The sequence below is a fragment of the Homo sapiens genome, chromosome 2, assembly GCF_000001405.40.
Source record: "Homo sapiens chromosome 2, GRCh38.p14 Primary Assembly".
Lineage (NCBI taxonomy): Eukaryota > Metazoa > Chordata > Mammalia > Primates > Hominidae > Homo > Homo sapiens.
In genome coordinates, this window is record NC_000002.12 from 109,361,404 (window position 1) to 109,375,389 (window position 13,986).

General features: G+C 44.4%; 2 protein-coding genes across 4 annotated transcripts in view; both read left to right on the plus strand.

The window, feature by feature from the left end:
* RANBP2 (RAN binding protein 2) overlaps positions 1-13,986 on the plus strand; it is a 1,122,820-nt gene that overhangs the window by 641,922 nt on the left and 466,912 nt on the right. The window lies entirely within an intron of this gene.
* The window catches only part of SH3RF3 (SH3 domain containing ring finger 3), a 375,430-nt gene that overhangs the window by 232,199 nt on the left and 129,245 nt on the right, over positions 1-13,986 (plus strand). For all 3 annotated transcript variants that reach the window (NM_001099289.3, XM_011511109.3, XM_047444144.1), the window contains exon 3: positions 10,183-10,278. In NM_001099289.3, coding sequence (NP_001092759.1) covers positions 10,183-10,278 — 96 coding nt within the window. The remainder of the gene's footprint in view (positions 1-10,182; positions 10,279-13,986) is intronic.

A 13,986-nucleotide genomic window follows, 5' to 3' on the forward strand; every position in this document is an offset into this window, starting at 1 on the left:
TGTTTGGTAGAATTCACTAGTGAACCTATCTGGTCCTGGTTCTTTCTGTTTTGAAAGTTTATTAGTTGTTTATTCAGTTTCTTTTTTTAAAATGGAGTCTCGCTCTGTCACCCAGGCTGGAGTGCAGTGGCGCGATCTTGGCTCATTGCAACCTCCGCCTCCCTGGTCCAAGCAATTCTCCTGCCTCAGCCTCCCAAGTAGCTGGGACTACAGGCATACGCCACCATGCCCGGCTAATTTTTTTGTATTTTTAGTAGAGATGGGGTTTCACCATGTTGGTCAGGCTGGTCTTGAACTCCTGACTTCAAATAATCTGCCCACCTCAGCCTCCCAAAGTGTTATTCAGTTTCTTTAATAGATAAAGGCCTATTGAATTATATATTTCTTCTTGTATGAGTTTTAGCAGATTGTCTTTTAAGGAATTGTTCCATTTCATCTGGGTTATCAAATTTGTGGACATAGCATTATTCATAATATTCTTTTATTTTTTTAACATCCATGGGACATACAGGGATGCCCCCTCTTTTATTCCTGATATTAGTACTTTGTGTCCTCTGTTTTTCTTAGTTTGCTTGCTAGAAGCATATGATTTTTATTGATCTTTTTAAAGATTAATTTATTGATCTTTTTTGTTTCATTGATTTTTCTCTATTGTTTTCAATTTCATTGATTTCTTCTATTTCTTTTATTTTATTTATTATTTGCATTTAATTTGCTCTTTTTTTCCTAGTGTCCTAAAGTGAAGATTTAGATTATTTATTTTAGATCTTCCTTCTTTTCTAATCGATGCATTCAGTGCTATAAATTTCCCTGTAGGTGCTACTTTTGCGGCATCTCACAAATGTTGGTAAATTACATCTTCATTTTTATTTAGTTCAAAATATTTTTTAAATTTCTCTTGAGAGTTTTTCTAAGACCCAAGTGTTACTTGGAAGTATGTTGTTAAATCTCCAAGTATTTTGGGATTTCCAGCTATCTTTCTATTATGGATGTCTAATTTAATGCTATTGTGGCCTGAGAGTAGACATTGTATGATTTTTATTTGTTTAAATTTGTTAAGGTGTGTTTTGCAGACCAGAATATGGTCTGTCCTGGTGAATGTTCCCTGTGGGCTTGAAAAGAATGTGTAATCTGCTGTTGTTGGTTGAGATATTATGTGGATGTCAGTTGTATCCAGTAGATTGATGGTGCCATTAAGTGCTATTAAGTTCAGTTATATCCTTACTGATTTTCTGCTTGCTGTCTCTGTCCATTTCTGATTCAGGGGTGTTAAAGTCTCCAGCTGTAATACTGGATTCATCTACTTCTCCTTCTGTCAGTTTTTTGCATCATGTATTTTGACACTGTTGTTAGGTGCGTGTAATGATAAGGATTATTATGTCTTCTTGGGGAATTGACCCCTTCGTCATTATGTAATGCCCCTATTTATTCTGATAACTTTTCTCACTCTGAAGTCTGTTTTGTCTGAAATTAATATGGATATCTTTTGATTAGTGTTAGCATGTTATCTCTTTCTTCATTGATTTGCTGTTAATCTGCTTGTGTGTGTATATTTAAAGTAGATTTCTTGTAAACAACATATAGTTGTATCTTGTTTTATTTTATCAACTTAAAATTTTTAATTTGTATATTTACATCATTAATTTTCAAAGTGATGTGTGATAGAGTCAGGTTAAATTCTACCATATTTGCATTATTTTATTATATTTGTTGCCCTTGTTTTTTGTTATTTTTCCTGTCTTTCACTCTTTTTCGGTCTTTTGTGGTTTTTATTGAGCATTTTTTATTTTCTATTTTCTCTCCTTTATTAGCATATCAGTTGTACCTCTTTTTTTACTTTTTTAATTGGTTGCATTGGAGTCTGCAATATTCATTTACAATGAATTCAAGCCCACTTTCAAATAACTGTGCTGCTTTGCAAGCAGTATGAGTACTTGTAATAACAAAATAATACTTATTTCTCCCTCCTGTTCCTTGTATCATTGGTGTGATTCATTTCTCTTGTACATGAGCATTGTAAGTGTATGTAAACACACACACATAAGCATAAAATGATCAAATACATTGTTTTTATTTTAAACAGTTATTTGTTAAATCAATTAAGAATAGCAAAAATAAAAGTTTTAAGTTTACTGCCATTCCTTCTCTGGTGCGTTGCCTTTCTTTCTGTAGATCTGAATTTCTGACCTATATTATTTTTCTTCTCTCCAAAGAACTCTTTAAAAACAGTTCTTGCAAGGCACATCTACTGGCAACACATTCACTCAATTCTTGTTTGTTTGACAAATCTTTATTCATGCTTCACTTTTGAAGGATAATTTCACAGGTACAGAATTCTAGGTTGGTAGGTTTTTTCTGTCAACACCTTAAATATTTTACTCCACTCTCTTGCTTGCATTTTCTTTTGAAAATTCAAATGTAACTCTTTTCCTTTGCTCCTTTATAGGTAATGTGTTTTTTCCCCTCTGACTTCTTTCAGGATTTTTTCTTTATCTTTTATTTTATGTAGTTTGAAAGTGCTATACCAAGGTGTCATTTTTCTGGCATCTATCCTGCTTGTTGTTCTCTGAGCTTCCTGGATCTGTGGTTTGGTGTCTGACAATAATTTGGAGAAATTCTCAGTTATTATTGTTTCAAATATTCCTTCTGTTCCTTTCTATCTTTCTTCTCCTTCTAGTATTCCCATTACATATGTATAATTGCCCCACAATTCTTGCTTTGAAGTTGTCCTGCAGTTCTTGGATGCTCCATTATGGTTTTTTTTTTTTCTAATTTTTTTTTTCTGTTTGCTTTTCCATGGTGGAGGTTTCTATTGAGATATCCTCAAGCTCAGAGAGTCTTTCCTCAACTGTGTCCAGTCTCCTAATAAGCACGTCGAAGGCATTCTTCATTTCTGCTACAGGGTTTTTGATTGCTAACATTTCTTTTCTGGCTCTTTATCTTTGCTTACATCACCCATCTGTTCTTACATGCTGTCTAGTTCAAACATTAAAGCCCTTAGTATGTGAATCATAGTTGTTTTGTATCCGTGATCTTTTAAGTCTAACATTAGTTGCCACATCTCAATCTGGTTCTGATGCTTGCTCTGTCTCTTCAAACTGTGGGGTTTTTTGCCTTTCAGTATGTACTGTGATATTTTCTTGATACCAGACATGGTGGACTGGGTAAAAAGAACTGCTGTAAATAGGCCTTTGGTGCTGTGGGGGCCATGCGGCCACAAATGTTCTATAGTCCTGGGATCAGGTCTCAGTCTTTCAGCAAGCTTGTGCCCCTGGCCTGTGAACTTCCCCAGTGCTTCTCAGTTTCCCCCACTCCTCTGTAGGTGAAACAGGATGGCTACAGTGGGTTGAAGTTTGGTATTTCCCTTGCCCCCAGTAGGTAAGGCTCTCATAAAACCCCAATGGGGGCCAGATGTGGTGGCTCACCCCTGTACTCTCAGCACTTTGGGAGGCCAGTGCAGGCAGATTACTTGAGGTCAGGAGTTCGAGACCAGCCTGGCCAACATGGTGAAACCTTGTCTCTACTAAAAATGCAAAAATTAACTGGGTGTAGTGGCACACGCTTGTAATCCCAGCTACTTAGGAGACTGAGGCAGAAGGATCGTGAGACTCTGTCTCAAAAAGAAACACAGACACACACACACATATAAAACAAACAAACAAACAAACAAACAAAACATCCCAATGGGTGAGGCTGTGGTTAACTAGTTTATCCTGTATGTGGATCTTATTAAGCACAGAATGCTCTGGCATGTTTCACAGTGGTTCCTCTTCCCCTCCCCCTGCCAGAAGCACGAGTGGATTTTTCTCTGATATTCACTATGAAGACTTAGTGGAGCTGCTCCTTGAGGCACAATTCACAAAGGTGTGGGCCCCCCAGTGACTGGGCCCCTGCAGTTCTTACCTCTCAGGCTGTCCACACTGAACCTCCAGCACACATCAGTTACAGTTCAGGCCCTCCTAGCCGAGCACTGCTTCCCACGGAGGCTGCTGCTTGGGGATTTCTGGTATTTCCCTATTGATCTCTTCAATTTGGGGGGCAGCAGTTTGCCCTGTGACCTCAGTTCTCTTACAGATCTAAGAAGAGGAGTTGCTTTTTCAGTTTGTTCAGCTTTTTTACTCATTGTTAAGATGGAGTGGTGACTTTCAGCTTCTTACGTTCTAGACTGGGAGCCGGACACCCCCCTGTTAGCTATTGAATGGTGTGTGTGCTAATACACCTTTAACAACCAACTCCTAATGATAGTTACTGTGGCGGTTGTATTTAACTAAAAGCCACAGACACTGTTTTATTTCATTGATCTTCTTATCAAGGAACATTTATGTTATTTAGTTTTTTTGCCTAAATGGAGAAATGTACAATTTGCATGTATCTGTGGTCCCGGCTGTCGACTGTACTTGTGAACTATGATCCTGCCATCGCAGGTATCCATCCCTTTCACTGTTAAATTGCCTGGAAATCAACTTTCTTTACAAAAGAAAAGTATATTTTTGATATTTGGTTTTTCAACATTTAAAAAAATTTCAGAGTGGAAATATACATGTCATTTAGAAGCACAAGAAAATTACATGCTGCTTGCTTTCTTCCTGAATTTGTTTTCTGGCATATAAGACAATTCTGTTATGAAACTATTAAATACTTGGTATTCACTGAGATTATTTGAAAAATAGGAAAGAAAAAATAAATATAAAAGTGTTCCACCTCTTCTATCTCCTAGAGTTATCCATTCTTTAAATTTTGGCATATATATTTTCAAACTTTTTCTAGGTATATATATATTTAAACTTTCTTAAGCAAAAATAGTAAAATTAATGATGACATTCCACTTTATGGGCACCATGCAAATGGGTTTGTATCTTACTTTGCTTTTTTCGTTTAAAAATAACTATCAAGTCCACTAAGTAAATTACAGTAAATTCATATAATGGAATGTCTCTGTGTAGTTAGTGAGGAAGATCTATATGTACTGTCACTAAATGATCTTTAGACTAAATTAAGTGGAAAAAAGCAAGATACAGAAAAGTGTGGTGAGTTCACTACCATTTATATCTTTCTAAAAGGCATGAATGTATGTGTGCATATATACGTTTATGCACGTATACATATATACATACTTGAGGAGAATATCTCTGTACTTCTCTAAGGCTATATAAGAAGCTTTATGGCTGGGCATGGTGGTTCATGCCTGTAATCCCAGCACTTTAGGAGGCTGAGGTGGAAGGATCACTTGAGCCCAGGAGTTTGAGACCAGCCTGGGCAGCATAGTGAGACCTTGTCTCTACAAATAATAATCAACAAAATTAGCTGCGTGTGGTGGCACACGCCTGTGGTCCCAGCTACTCAGGAGGCTGAGGAGGGAGGACCACTTGCGCCTGGAAAGTCAAAGCTGCAGTGAGCTGTGATTGTGCCACTGCACTCCAGCCTGGGCAACAGAGCAAGACCTCGTCTCAAAAACAAATAAATAAATAAACAAAAAGAAACTTATTAATGATTGCTTTGTGGAAGGTAAGCTGAAATACCAGCGATCAGGACTGGGATTCGTTTTTTGAATTTATTTTATTTTATTTTTTGGGACAGAGTCTCATTCTCGCCCAGGCTGGAGTGGAGTGGCATGATCTTGGTTCACTGCAACTTTCACCTCCTGGTTCAAGAGATTCTCGTGCCTCACCCTCCAGAGCAGCTAGGATTACAGGCATATGCCACTGTGCCCTGGTAATTTTTTTTTTTTTTTTTTTTTTTTAGTAGAGACAGGGTTTTGCCATGTTGGCCAGACTGGTCTCGAACTCCTGGCCTCAAGTGATCTGCCTACTTCGGCCTACCAAAGAACTGGGATTACAGGTGTGAGCCACTGTGCCCGTCTTGTTTTCTGAATTTTTTACTTTTTATTTTTATTTTTAGATGGAGTCTTGCTCTTGCCACCCAGGCTGGAGTGCAGTGGTACAATCTCAGCTTACTGCAACCTCTGCCTCCTGGGTTCAAGCAATTCTCCTGCCTCAGCCTCACAAGTAGCTGGGACTACAGGCACACGGCCTCATGCCTGGCTAGTTGTTGTATTTTTAATAGAAACGGGGTTTCACCATGTCGGCCAGGCTAGTCTTGAACTCCTGACCTCAGGTGATCCACCGACCTCGGCCTCCCAAAGTGCTGGGATTACAGGCATGAGCCACTGTGCCTGGCCTGTTTTTTGAATTTAATATTAACATTTCTCTTTTAATTTCCATTATTTCTCTCCTGTATCATTTTTAATGACTGAGTGTATTCCATTGAATGCACAATACTGTAATTTATTTAACCAGTCCCCTTTTGCTTTGCATTTGTCTCTAGTTTTTCTCTAGTTTAACAAACACTGTAATGAATGTCTTCAGTAACAAATCTTTCTGCACACTTGATTTTTCTTAGAATAGAGTTCCTAGGAGTGGCTATTTGTAGCTCAGAGGGTGCACAGGCTTCCAAGGCTTTGATATTTGATAGGAATCACCGAACTGCCTGCCCTACATTTATATCCCCACCAAAAATGGGAAAGTGCCTGTTCCATGCATACTGGCCACCACTGTGAGTTGGGTTTATGTTTCTCATTGCTAATTTGACAGGCAAAGGAACAAAAGGGGAATCTTCCTGTTTAAAACTGTGTTTGTTTGAATATTAGCCAGGTATGCCATTTTAAAATATGTTTAATGGAAATTTGTTTTTCTTCTTTCATGAGTTCCCTGATTTTTGGCCTTGGCCTATTTTTCTCTTAAGGTATTTGTCTGCCTTTCCACTGTTTTTTTAAGTCTTTATACAGTAAAGACATTAAGCCTTTGTCTCTCATGTATCCTGCAAGTATTTTTCTGTTTATTTGCCTTTTTGTTTTGTTTCTGTTATTTTTAACATTGAGTATTTAGTTTTGCTGTAGCCAAATCTTTGTTATCATACCTTGAAATACATTCCCCAGTTCAAGATTAAACATCTATTCATATTTTCTTCTTGGACATTCAAGTTTAATCCTTATGGAATGAATTTTGGCATATACAGTGGATTAGAGAACTAATTTTATTTTTTTAATGATTGGCCAATTTTAGTAACATTTTCTAACTGATTATTGCTGGTATATGAGAAAGCCAATGATTTTTATGTATTTATCCTAAAATTGGCAACCTTCCTCAAATTCTTATTCTAATATTCACTTGCTTCTAATTTTTCTAGGTAGAAAATTATATACCTTTCTTTCTAATATTTATACTTCTTGTCTTATTTTTCTATTTATTTGGCTCTAATTTCTAGACCAATGTTAGATACCAGTGTGGATATCATGGTATTTTCTTTAAAAAAAAAAAAAAAGAAAAAGAAAAAGAAAGAACGAAAGAAACAAAATTAATCTGGCATTTTCTTCTTTTTGTTTTTAATTTTTATAAAATTAAATTTCTATCTTGTGATATTTTGCTGTTGTGACAGCTCTGATGTGTGGGAAGCCTTTGGTTATCTCTCCCTTTATGTGACAGCGAAGCCTTAGGCCCTTAGGCTGATCTGAGCTGGGCCAATCATGCCTTGGGCCTCTGCTGGTGGTGAGCTTGAGAGGCAAGTCAGGCACAGATTTCCGGAGCATTCTGTGGGCGCCTCCCCCAAGCCAGGGCCCCACTCTAGTGTCCTCGTGGTGTTTAGAAAAGCCCTCCCACACTTGGCCGGGCATGGTGGCTCACGCCTATAATCCCAGCACTTTGGGAGGCCGAGGTGGGCAGATCACGAGGTCAGGGGATCGAGACCATCCTGGCCAACATGGTGAAACCCCGTCTCTTCTTAAAAAAAAAAAAAAAAATTAGCCGGGAGTGGTGGTGAGCACCTGTAGTCCCAGCTACTCTAGAGGCTGAGGCAGGGGGAATCACTTGAACCCAGGAGGTGGAGGTTGCAGTGAGCTGAGATTGGGCCATTGCACTCCAGTCTGGCGACAGCACAAGACTCCGTCTAAAAAAAGAAAAAGAAAAGAAAGAAAAGCCCCACACACTCAACGCTGAGCGTTGCTGGAGGGACGCTCTGCTAAATGCCCCCAGACCTGAGGCTGACTTTTGGGCTGTGTGAAGTGATATGATGCTCTTAGAATGCTCTTTACGTTTTTCTGGCCTATAATGTCAGTTGGAAAAAGTGGCATTGTAAAGTCATAAATCTTTTTGGTTTGGGTGTTTTTGAAGCTGGGGGTTGGGGGAGAGGATGGGGAAAGTGAGGGGTGTGATTGCCTCTGGTGGCCCCCACGCTCTACTTGTTCTCCTGGGAGAGGGCGGTTTGGAAGAGGCATGGGAGGAGCTTCCCAGCACAGAGCCCAGCCTGCCCTCCTTCTGTGTGATCCCACATGGGCTGTCCAGCTCTGTTAGATCAATGCTGCCTCAACTCGGATGGACACCAAACCCTACGGCCCCCTCCGCTCCCGGTGAAGCAGTTTCTCTGATGATTTCTTAGACCCCACCAGCCTAAAACATCTCTCCCTCTGACCCCAAAAGAGGCCTGTAAGTCCCGAATTGCTGCTTTGTGTTACAGCATCAGAGGCTCCTTGGAAAGGCGGGTGGTGCACTCAGCTCTGAGGGGCTTCTCCATGAGGCCATCTCTTGGCCATCTCCTCCTTAGCCTGTTCAAGTCACACATGGGCCAGCTGGTCTAGCAGAGAACAAATAACGGGGGCAGTTTAGGCTGACAGGCCTTGGGGCGTTCCATGATGCACCTGACTGCCGAAGGAGGGATGGTTCCGGAGAAGGGAACAGAGGTTCGCCAAAGGCCCCTTGGAGTGGCACCCGTCTTGCCCAGGCCATTGCTGTGGTGGTCTCTGTCTCTGTCTCTGTCTCTGTCTCTGTCTCTGTCTCTCTCTCTCTTTTTCTTTTTTTTTTTTAATATGGAGTCTCACTCTGTCACCCTGGCTGGAGTGCAGAGGTACGATCTCGGCTCACTGCAACCTCTGCCTCCCGGGTTCAAGCGATTCTCCTGCCTCAGACTCCCAAGTAGCTGGGACTACAGGTGCCTGCCACCATGCCCGGCTTATTTTTGTCTTTTTAGTAGAGACTGAGTTTCACCATATTGGTCAGGCTGGTCTCAAACTCCTGATCTCAGGTGATCACCCGCCTCGACCTCCCAAAGTGCTGTGATTACAGGCATGAGCCACCGCGCCCGGCCATCTGTCTCTCTTGACACTTGTTACAGCTGTTTTCTCCTTCCCCCAGGGCTCCTCTCTGGTCACGTCCCACTGTGAGTCCCCATCTCTCCTCCGTCCTTTTCCTCTTTCTCACCCGCCCTGCCATTCGTCTCTGTGTCTCTTGGTACCTGTGACAGTGTCCTATTTCCTTCCTCGATGACTGCTCATCTCCCAGTCTCAACCCCCCCGAAAGCCCGCCTTTCCTCCTTGCTGCCTGCCTCTTCCTTTCTCCTTCCATCTGTTTCCACTTTGTGCATTTATACTTGGTATTGTTTAATATTCCAAAGAATTGAAGAGGGTTACTGAAAGCTTTATGTGCCCATGACTCTAAATAAATGTAGTTGGACTGAGTTATTTTTTTGTTCTTGGATGAAGCCAGAATCTTAAAGCCTTTTCTACTTAGCTGAATTTATTTTTATTCCAAATATTTTTATTTCATTAAATAAATAATAGGAGTTGCATTTTAAAGCCCTAACTCTGTGGTACATTGCCAGGCTTTCCCATATGGGGCTCTTTGCAGCTATAATCAATAGTGTCAGAGAGGGTGCTGGCTGGGTTCGGTGGCTCACACCTGTAATCCCAGCACTTTAGGAGGCCAAGGCGGGCAGATTGCCTGAGCTCAGGAGTTCAAAACCAGCCTGGGCAACATGGCAAGACACCATCTCTACCAAAAAATACAAAAATTAGCTGGGTGTGGTGGCACACGCCTGTAATCCCAGCTACTTGGAAGGCTGAGGCAGGAGAATCGCTTGAACCCCGGAGGCGGAGGCTGCAGTGAGCGGAGATTGCGCCACTGCACTCCAGCCTGGGTGGCAGAGCGAGACTCCGCCCCTCCCTCCAAACAAAAAGAAAGAAAGAGAGGGTGCTCCTGGGTGAAGATGTCAGATACCTGAATGGATAATGCACTCTTCTTGAACTCATTCCTTGGAATCTCTTCCGAGCCTCCACAGTACTAACCAGTGTCTTGCTTCCTTTTTCATTGTGTGTGTGTCCGTATGCTTGTGTCCACGGTGGACCCGGAACTGCAGGACGAGATTCTGACGGTGCTCAGGAGAGTGGATGAGAACTGGGCGGAAGGCATGCTGGGAGACAAGATCGGGATCTTCCCGCTCCTGTACGTGGAGGTAAGACCGTGCCGCCCTCCCACACTTGGCTCCTTCTTGCCCACCCTTGTTTCACTACAGTGGGGTCACCTGACCTTCAAGCCCCTTTTCTAAGAGAGAAAGAGGATCCTCCACAATAGCCTCTGGCCAGAGAGCTGCTATGTGTGGGCTTTGATTCACCTCATGGGGTCAGTGCTGTGAGCACTGCCTTGGCCAGTTTTGAGTGGCTGGTCCCAGGCCTGGCTGCAAGTCATCTCACCACGTGGGCAGTGGCAGCAGGGCCCCCTTGTGCACCTTCCCCGTTTTCTCAAGGGACCCCTGCGCCTGGCACCCATGCTTCTCCAACTCCCCCAAGTGCTGCTGCTCTTTTCTCATGAGCACCAGAGGGGAAGAACCCGTCCCAAGGCAGCATTTTCCCTTCCCACTGCACACGGATTGGAAGGAACCGTTGCTGGCCATCTGCAAAGTCCTCCTTGGACTCAGGGTTATTGGGCAACTCTTCTGCCTGAGAGGCACCACAGCAAAGGTGTTTTGAGGCTAATTCCAGACCTACTAATTTCCTTTCCCTTTTCTGTAACTAAAGCACCAGGTTTCTAGTGAGTACGTTTAGGGTAGCTGCTGTGCAGAAAGCATCTTAACACGTGTGTCTTTAAAACACCTGCTAGCCTGGGGCTGTGTGTGTATGTAGGAGTATTTGCCTATGGCGTGTGTGTCTGCCATTTGTCAGTGCAAGGCCACATGTGCACATTGGTGAGCTGACCACATGCTTTCATGCTGTAACCACCAGCGTCATCCCATAAGAGTGGCTTCAGTGAATGCTTACTGAGTGCTTGTTGTGTGCCAGACACTTGGAAGTACCTGCTCATTTAATCTTCTCAGCAACACTGGCATATGAAAACCATGAATGGCCCTGCTTTACAGATGAGCAAACAGAGGTGCAGAAAGGTAACGTAGCATTCTCAAGGTCCCACAGCCGAGGAGTGGCAGAACCAAGGTTTCAGCGCGGGCCTCTTGGCCCTAGACTCAGCCAGCCCTTCACTCTCCTGCTCTCACACCATATCCTGCCTCTCCACTGTCTCTGGCTAATGAACTGCAGTTTACTCAGCTCAGTGCTGGGCTCCATGTGTCCCCCCTGCCTGACACACTTAAGGGCTTCAGAGTTGGCACCGAAAGCCCACGGGTGACACGGCCAGCTTTGCCACACCTACCACACAGTGTGCAGATACTTAAAGATGTTTGTTTAAAACATCTGTCAATTCCCCGTTGCCTGCAGGATAAAGTCCAAATGCTTTAGCTTAGCATTCAAAGCCCTTTGCAGTTAGTCCATAGTCTATTTTGCAGCCTCATCTCTCATTTCCTCCCCTCTTCCTCAAATATTCGGGACCAGTGGTTCTCGCACATTTAGTTTGAATGTGCTGCCCAGGCCATCTGAGGCCCTCCCACAGCAATGGCAGATAATTCACACACACACACTCTCCTGTAAGATTCACATCTGCCCTCAACACTTCGCAAGTTTCCATGTATTTGCACATTTGCTTTAGCTTTTCTGTCCTGGTGCTTAAGACCAAAGAACTTAATGCGCGAATACCACTTACAATGTCGTCCAGAAGTCAGAAATCTGAGCTCTCGGACATTTTTAGCTGGCCAAACTTTTTTCTCCAGGCAGAATCTTACTGGGATACCCAACATATACATGAATGTTCATGGAAAGTTCATTACAATGGCCCTAAACAGCATACCACTCAAGTGTCCATCAACAGTGGGATGGCTGAGGAAAATGCAGTATATCCATACAATGGAACGCTCTCCCACCATGCATGTGAACAAAAGAGTAATGGCTTTAAGGGCATAGGCAAATCTCCAAGTGAAATTTTTGAAAGAAGCCAGACATAAAAGTAAATGCCGTATGGGTTTTTTTAGGAGGTTCAAAAGCAGACAGAACTCCTCTGTTGTGACAGAAGTCAGAGCAGTAGTGACCTTGGGGATTCTGACTGGAAGAGGTAAGGAGGTTCTGGGCTGCAGAAAGGTTTCGTGTCCTGATCTCGGGAGAGCTGCACAGATTATGCTGCTGTAAAATGGTGTCCAGTTAAGCTTTACACACTTCTAACTGCAATTTCAAAAGCTAAGAGCAAATCTTAAAGGACAGGTAAGATCTTACCAAGGCAGCTGACAGTAGCGGAGGTGGCTGAAGGCTGCGTTGGGCCCCTCAGCCCCTCCTCTGGAAGAAGCTGTCAGGCACCATTGGGAGTCCGCAAGCAGGTGCAGGCCCGAGACCCAGTCCAGCAGGCTCTCTGTCATCTCTTCCTGGTTCCACAGGCACACTCAGAGACAAACTGGGGAGTCAGCCGCATCTGTGCCTTCCTGCAGCATGACTGCCTGTGGGTCTGAAAAGCCACCTTAAAGCCCTCCTCCCTCAGGGCCATGAGGAGGGCTCCATAGCCCCACCTGCCCCCACACCCCCTCACAGGTTCTGCCTCCACTCTTGGGCACAGTCCCTTCCACCCACCTGGATAGGAAGCCCTGGACTGTCCTTCAGGCTCAGAGACACAGACCTCCTCCCAAGCATCCTTGGGCAGGGGGCCCCACTGCCCCTCTTGCCCCTTTCTGAGATGGCTGCCCATGCAGTACTGGGCTCCACGCCACACACCCATAGCCTGGCAGCCTCAGCTCTGATACAGGCTCCCGGACTCTCAGCAGCCACTGAAGACCAGCCTGAACAGGTGTTTCCTGGGACTTTTCATTCTTTATGTACTGACTGCTTGCACGCCACACACCACATGGATCCTGGTGGATCGGAAAGTCCTGGTTTGGCCCAAACTGCTTCCCTCTGGGAGGCCGCACAGGCATTTGAGGTGGGAACTTGGGTGTTTGCAGGGTTCCTGAGAGAGTCAGACCCACCTGCCAGGAGGGAGCCTGGAGCTTCCATCTTGGGCTACTGCACAGGCAGCCGGCACAGTCCCGGTGATGCTTGTCCCCTGGTGCAAGAAGGAATGTAGCAGACCCGTCACCTCACACTAAGAGGATATCTTCTTTCATGCTCACGTAAGCTTGGATTGCATGAAGGTCTCCTCCACAGCCGCTCCAGCCGGGATCTGCAGGCACCTGGCAGGGTTCTACCCAGCGCACAGCTGCCCTATGGGGTTCACCGAGGGACTCTCACCTCGCCTGGCCTCACCTGGCCTCAGCTTCCCATCAGCGCAGCTCAGGCCATGATGCTAAGCCCACGGTGGACCTCACAAAGTAAACGAGAGTGTGCCCTGCACAGTGCTCTCCCTCCGTGGTTGTGTCTCCACCAGGGCCTGCCAGTGGCACAGTGAGCTGAAGGGCACACACCTGGCCTGGAGCCAGCCTGGCCTTGCACTGCTTCAGCTGCTTTCAGAGGAGGTGGACCCCGCCCTGGACATACGTACATTTCCCTCTGCTGTTCTATAGAAATAATCGTCTCTCCACAGCCCCTGGCACCCACCTGCCACAGGCATTCACCCATGAGCTGGGCTTGCTGCCCCTGGGCACTGACCCCATCTGTGCTGTGCTCACCGGAGATACCTCACTCCCTGCCCAGCTCTTCTTCCCATGGCTCCAGCCACCGTCCCATGCCCTGGAACCTGCCTCCTTGTCCTTTTCGCCCATCGTTTTGCAAAAGGAAGTGAGAAACTCTCCTGCGGCCGTCCCCACGCCAGGACCCAGGGCACGTCTCCCTGACACCTGTTCATCAGATGCCAGCTGGAC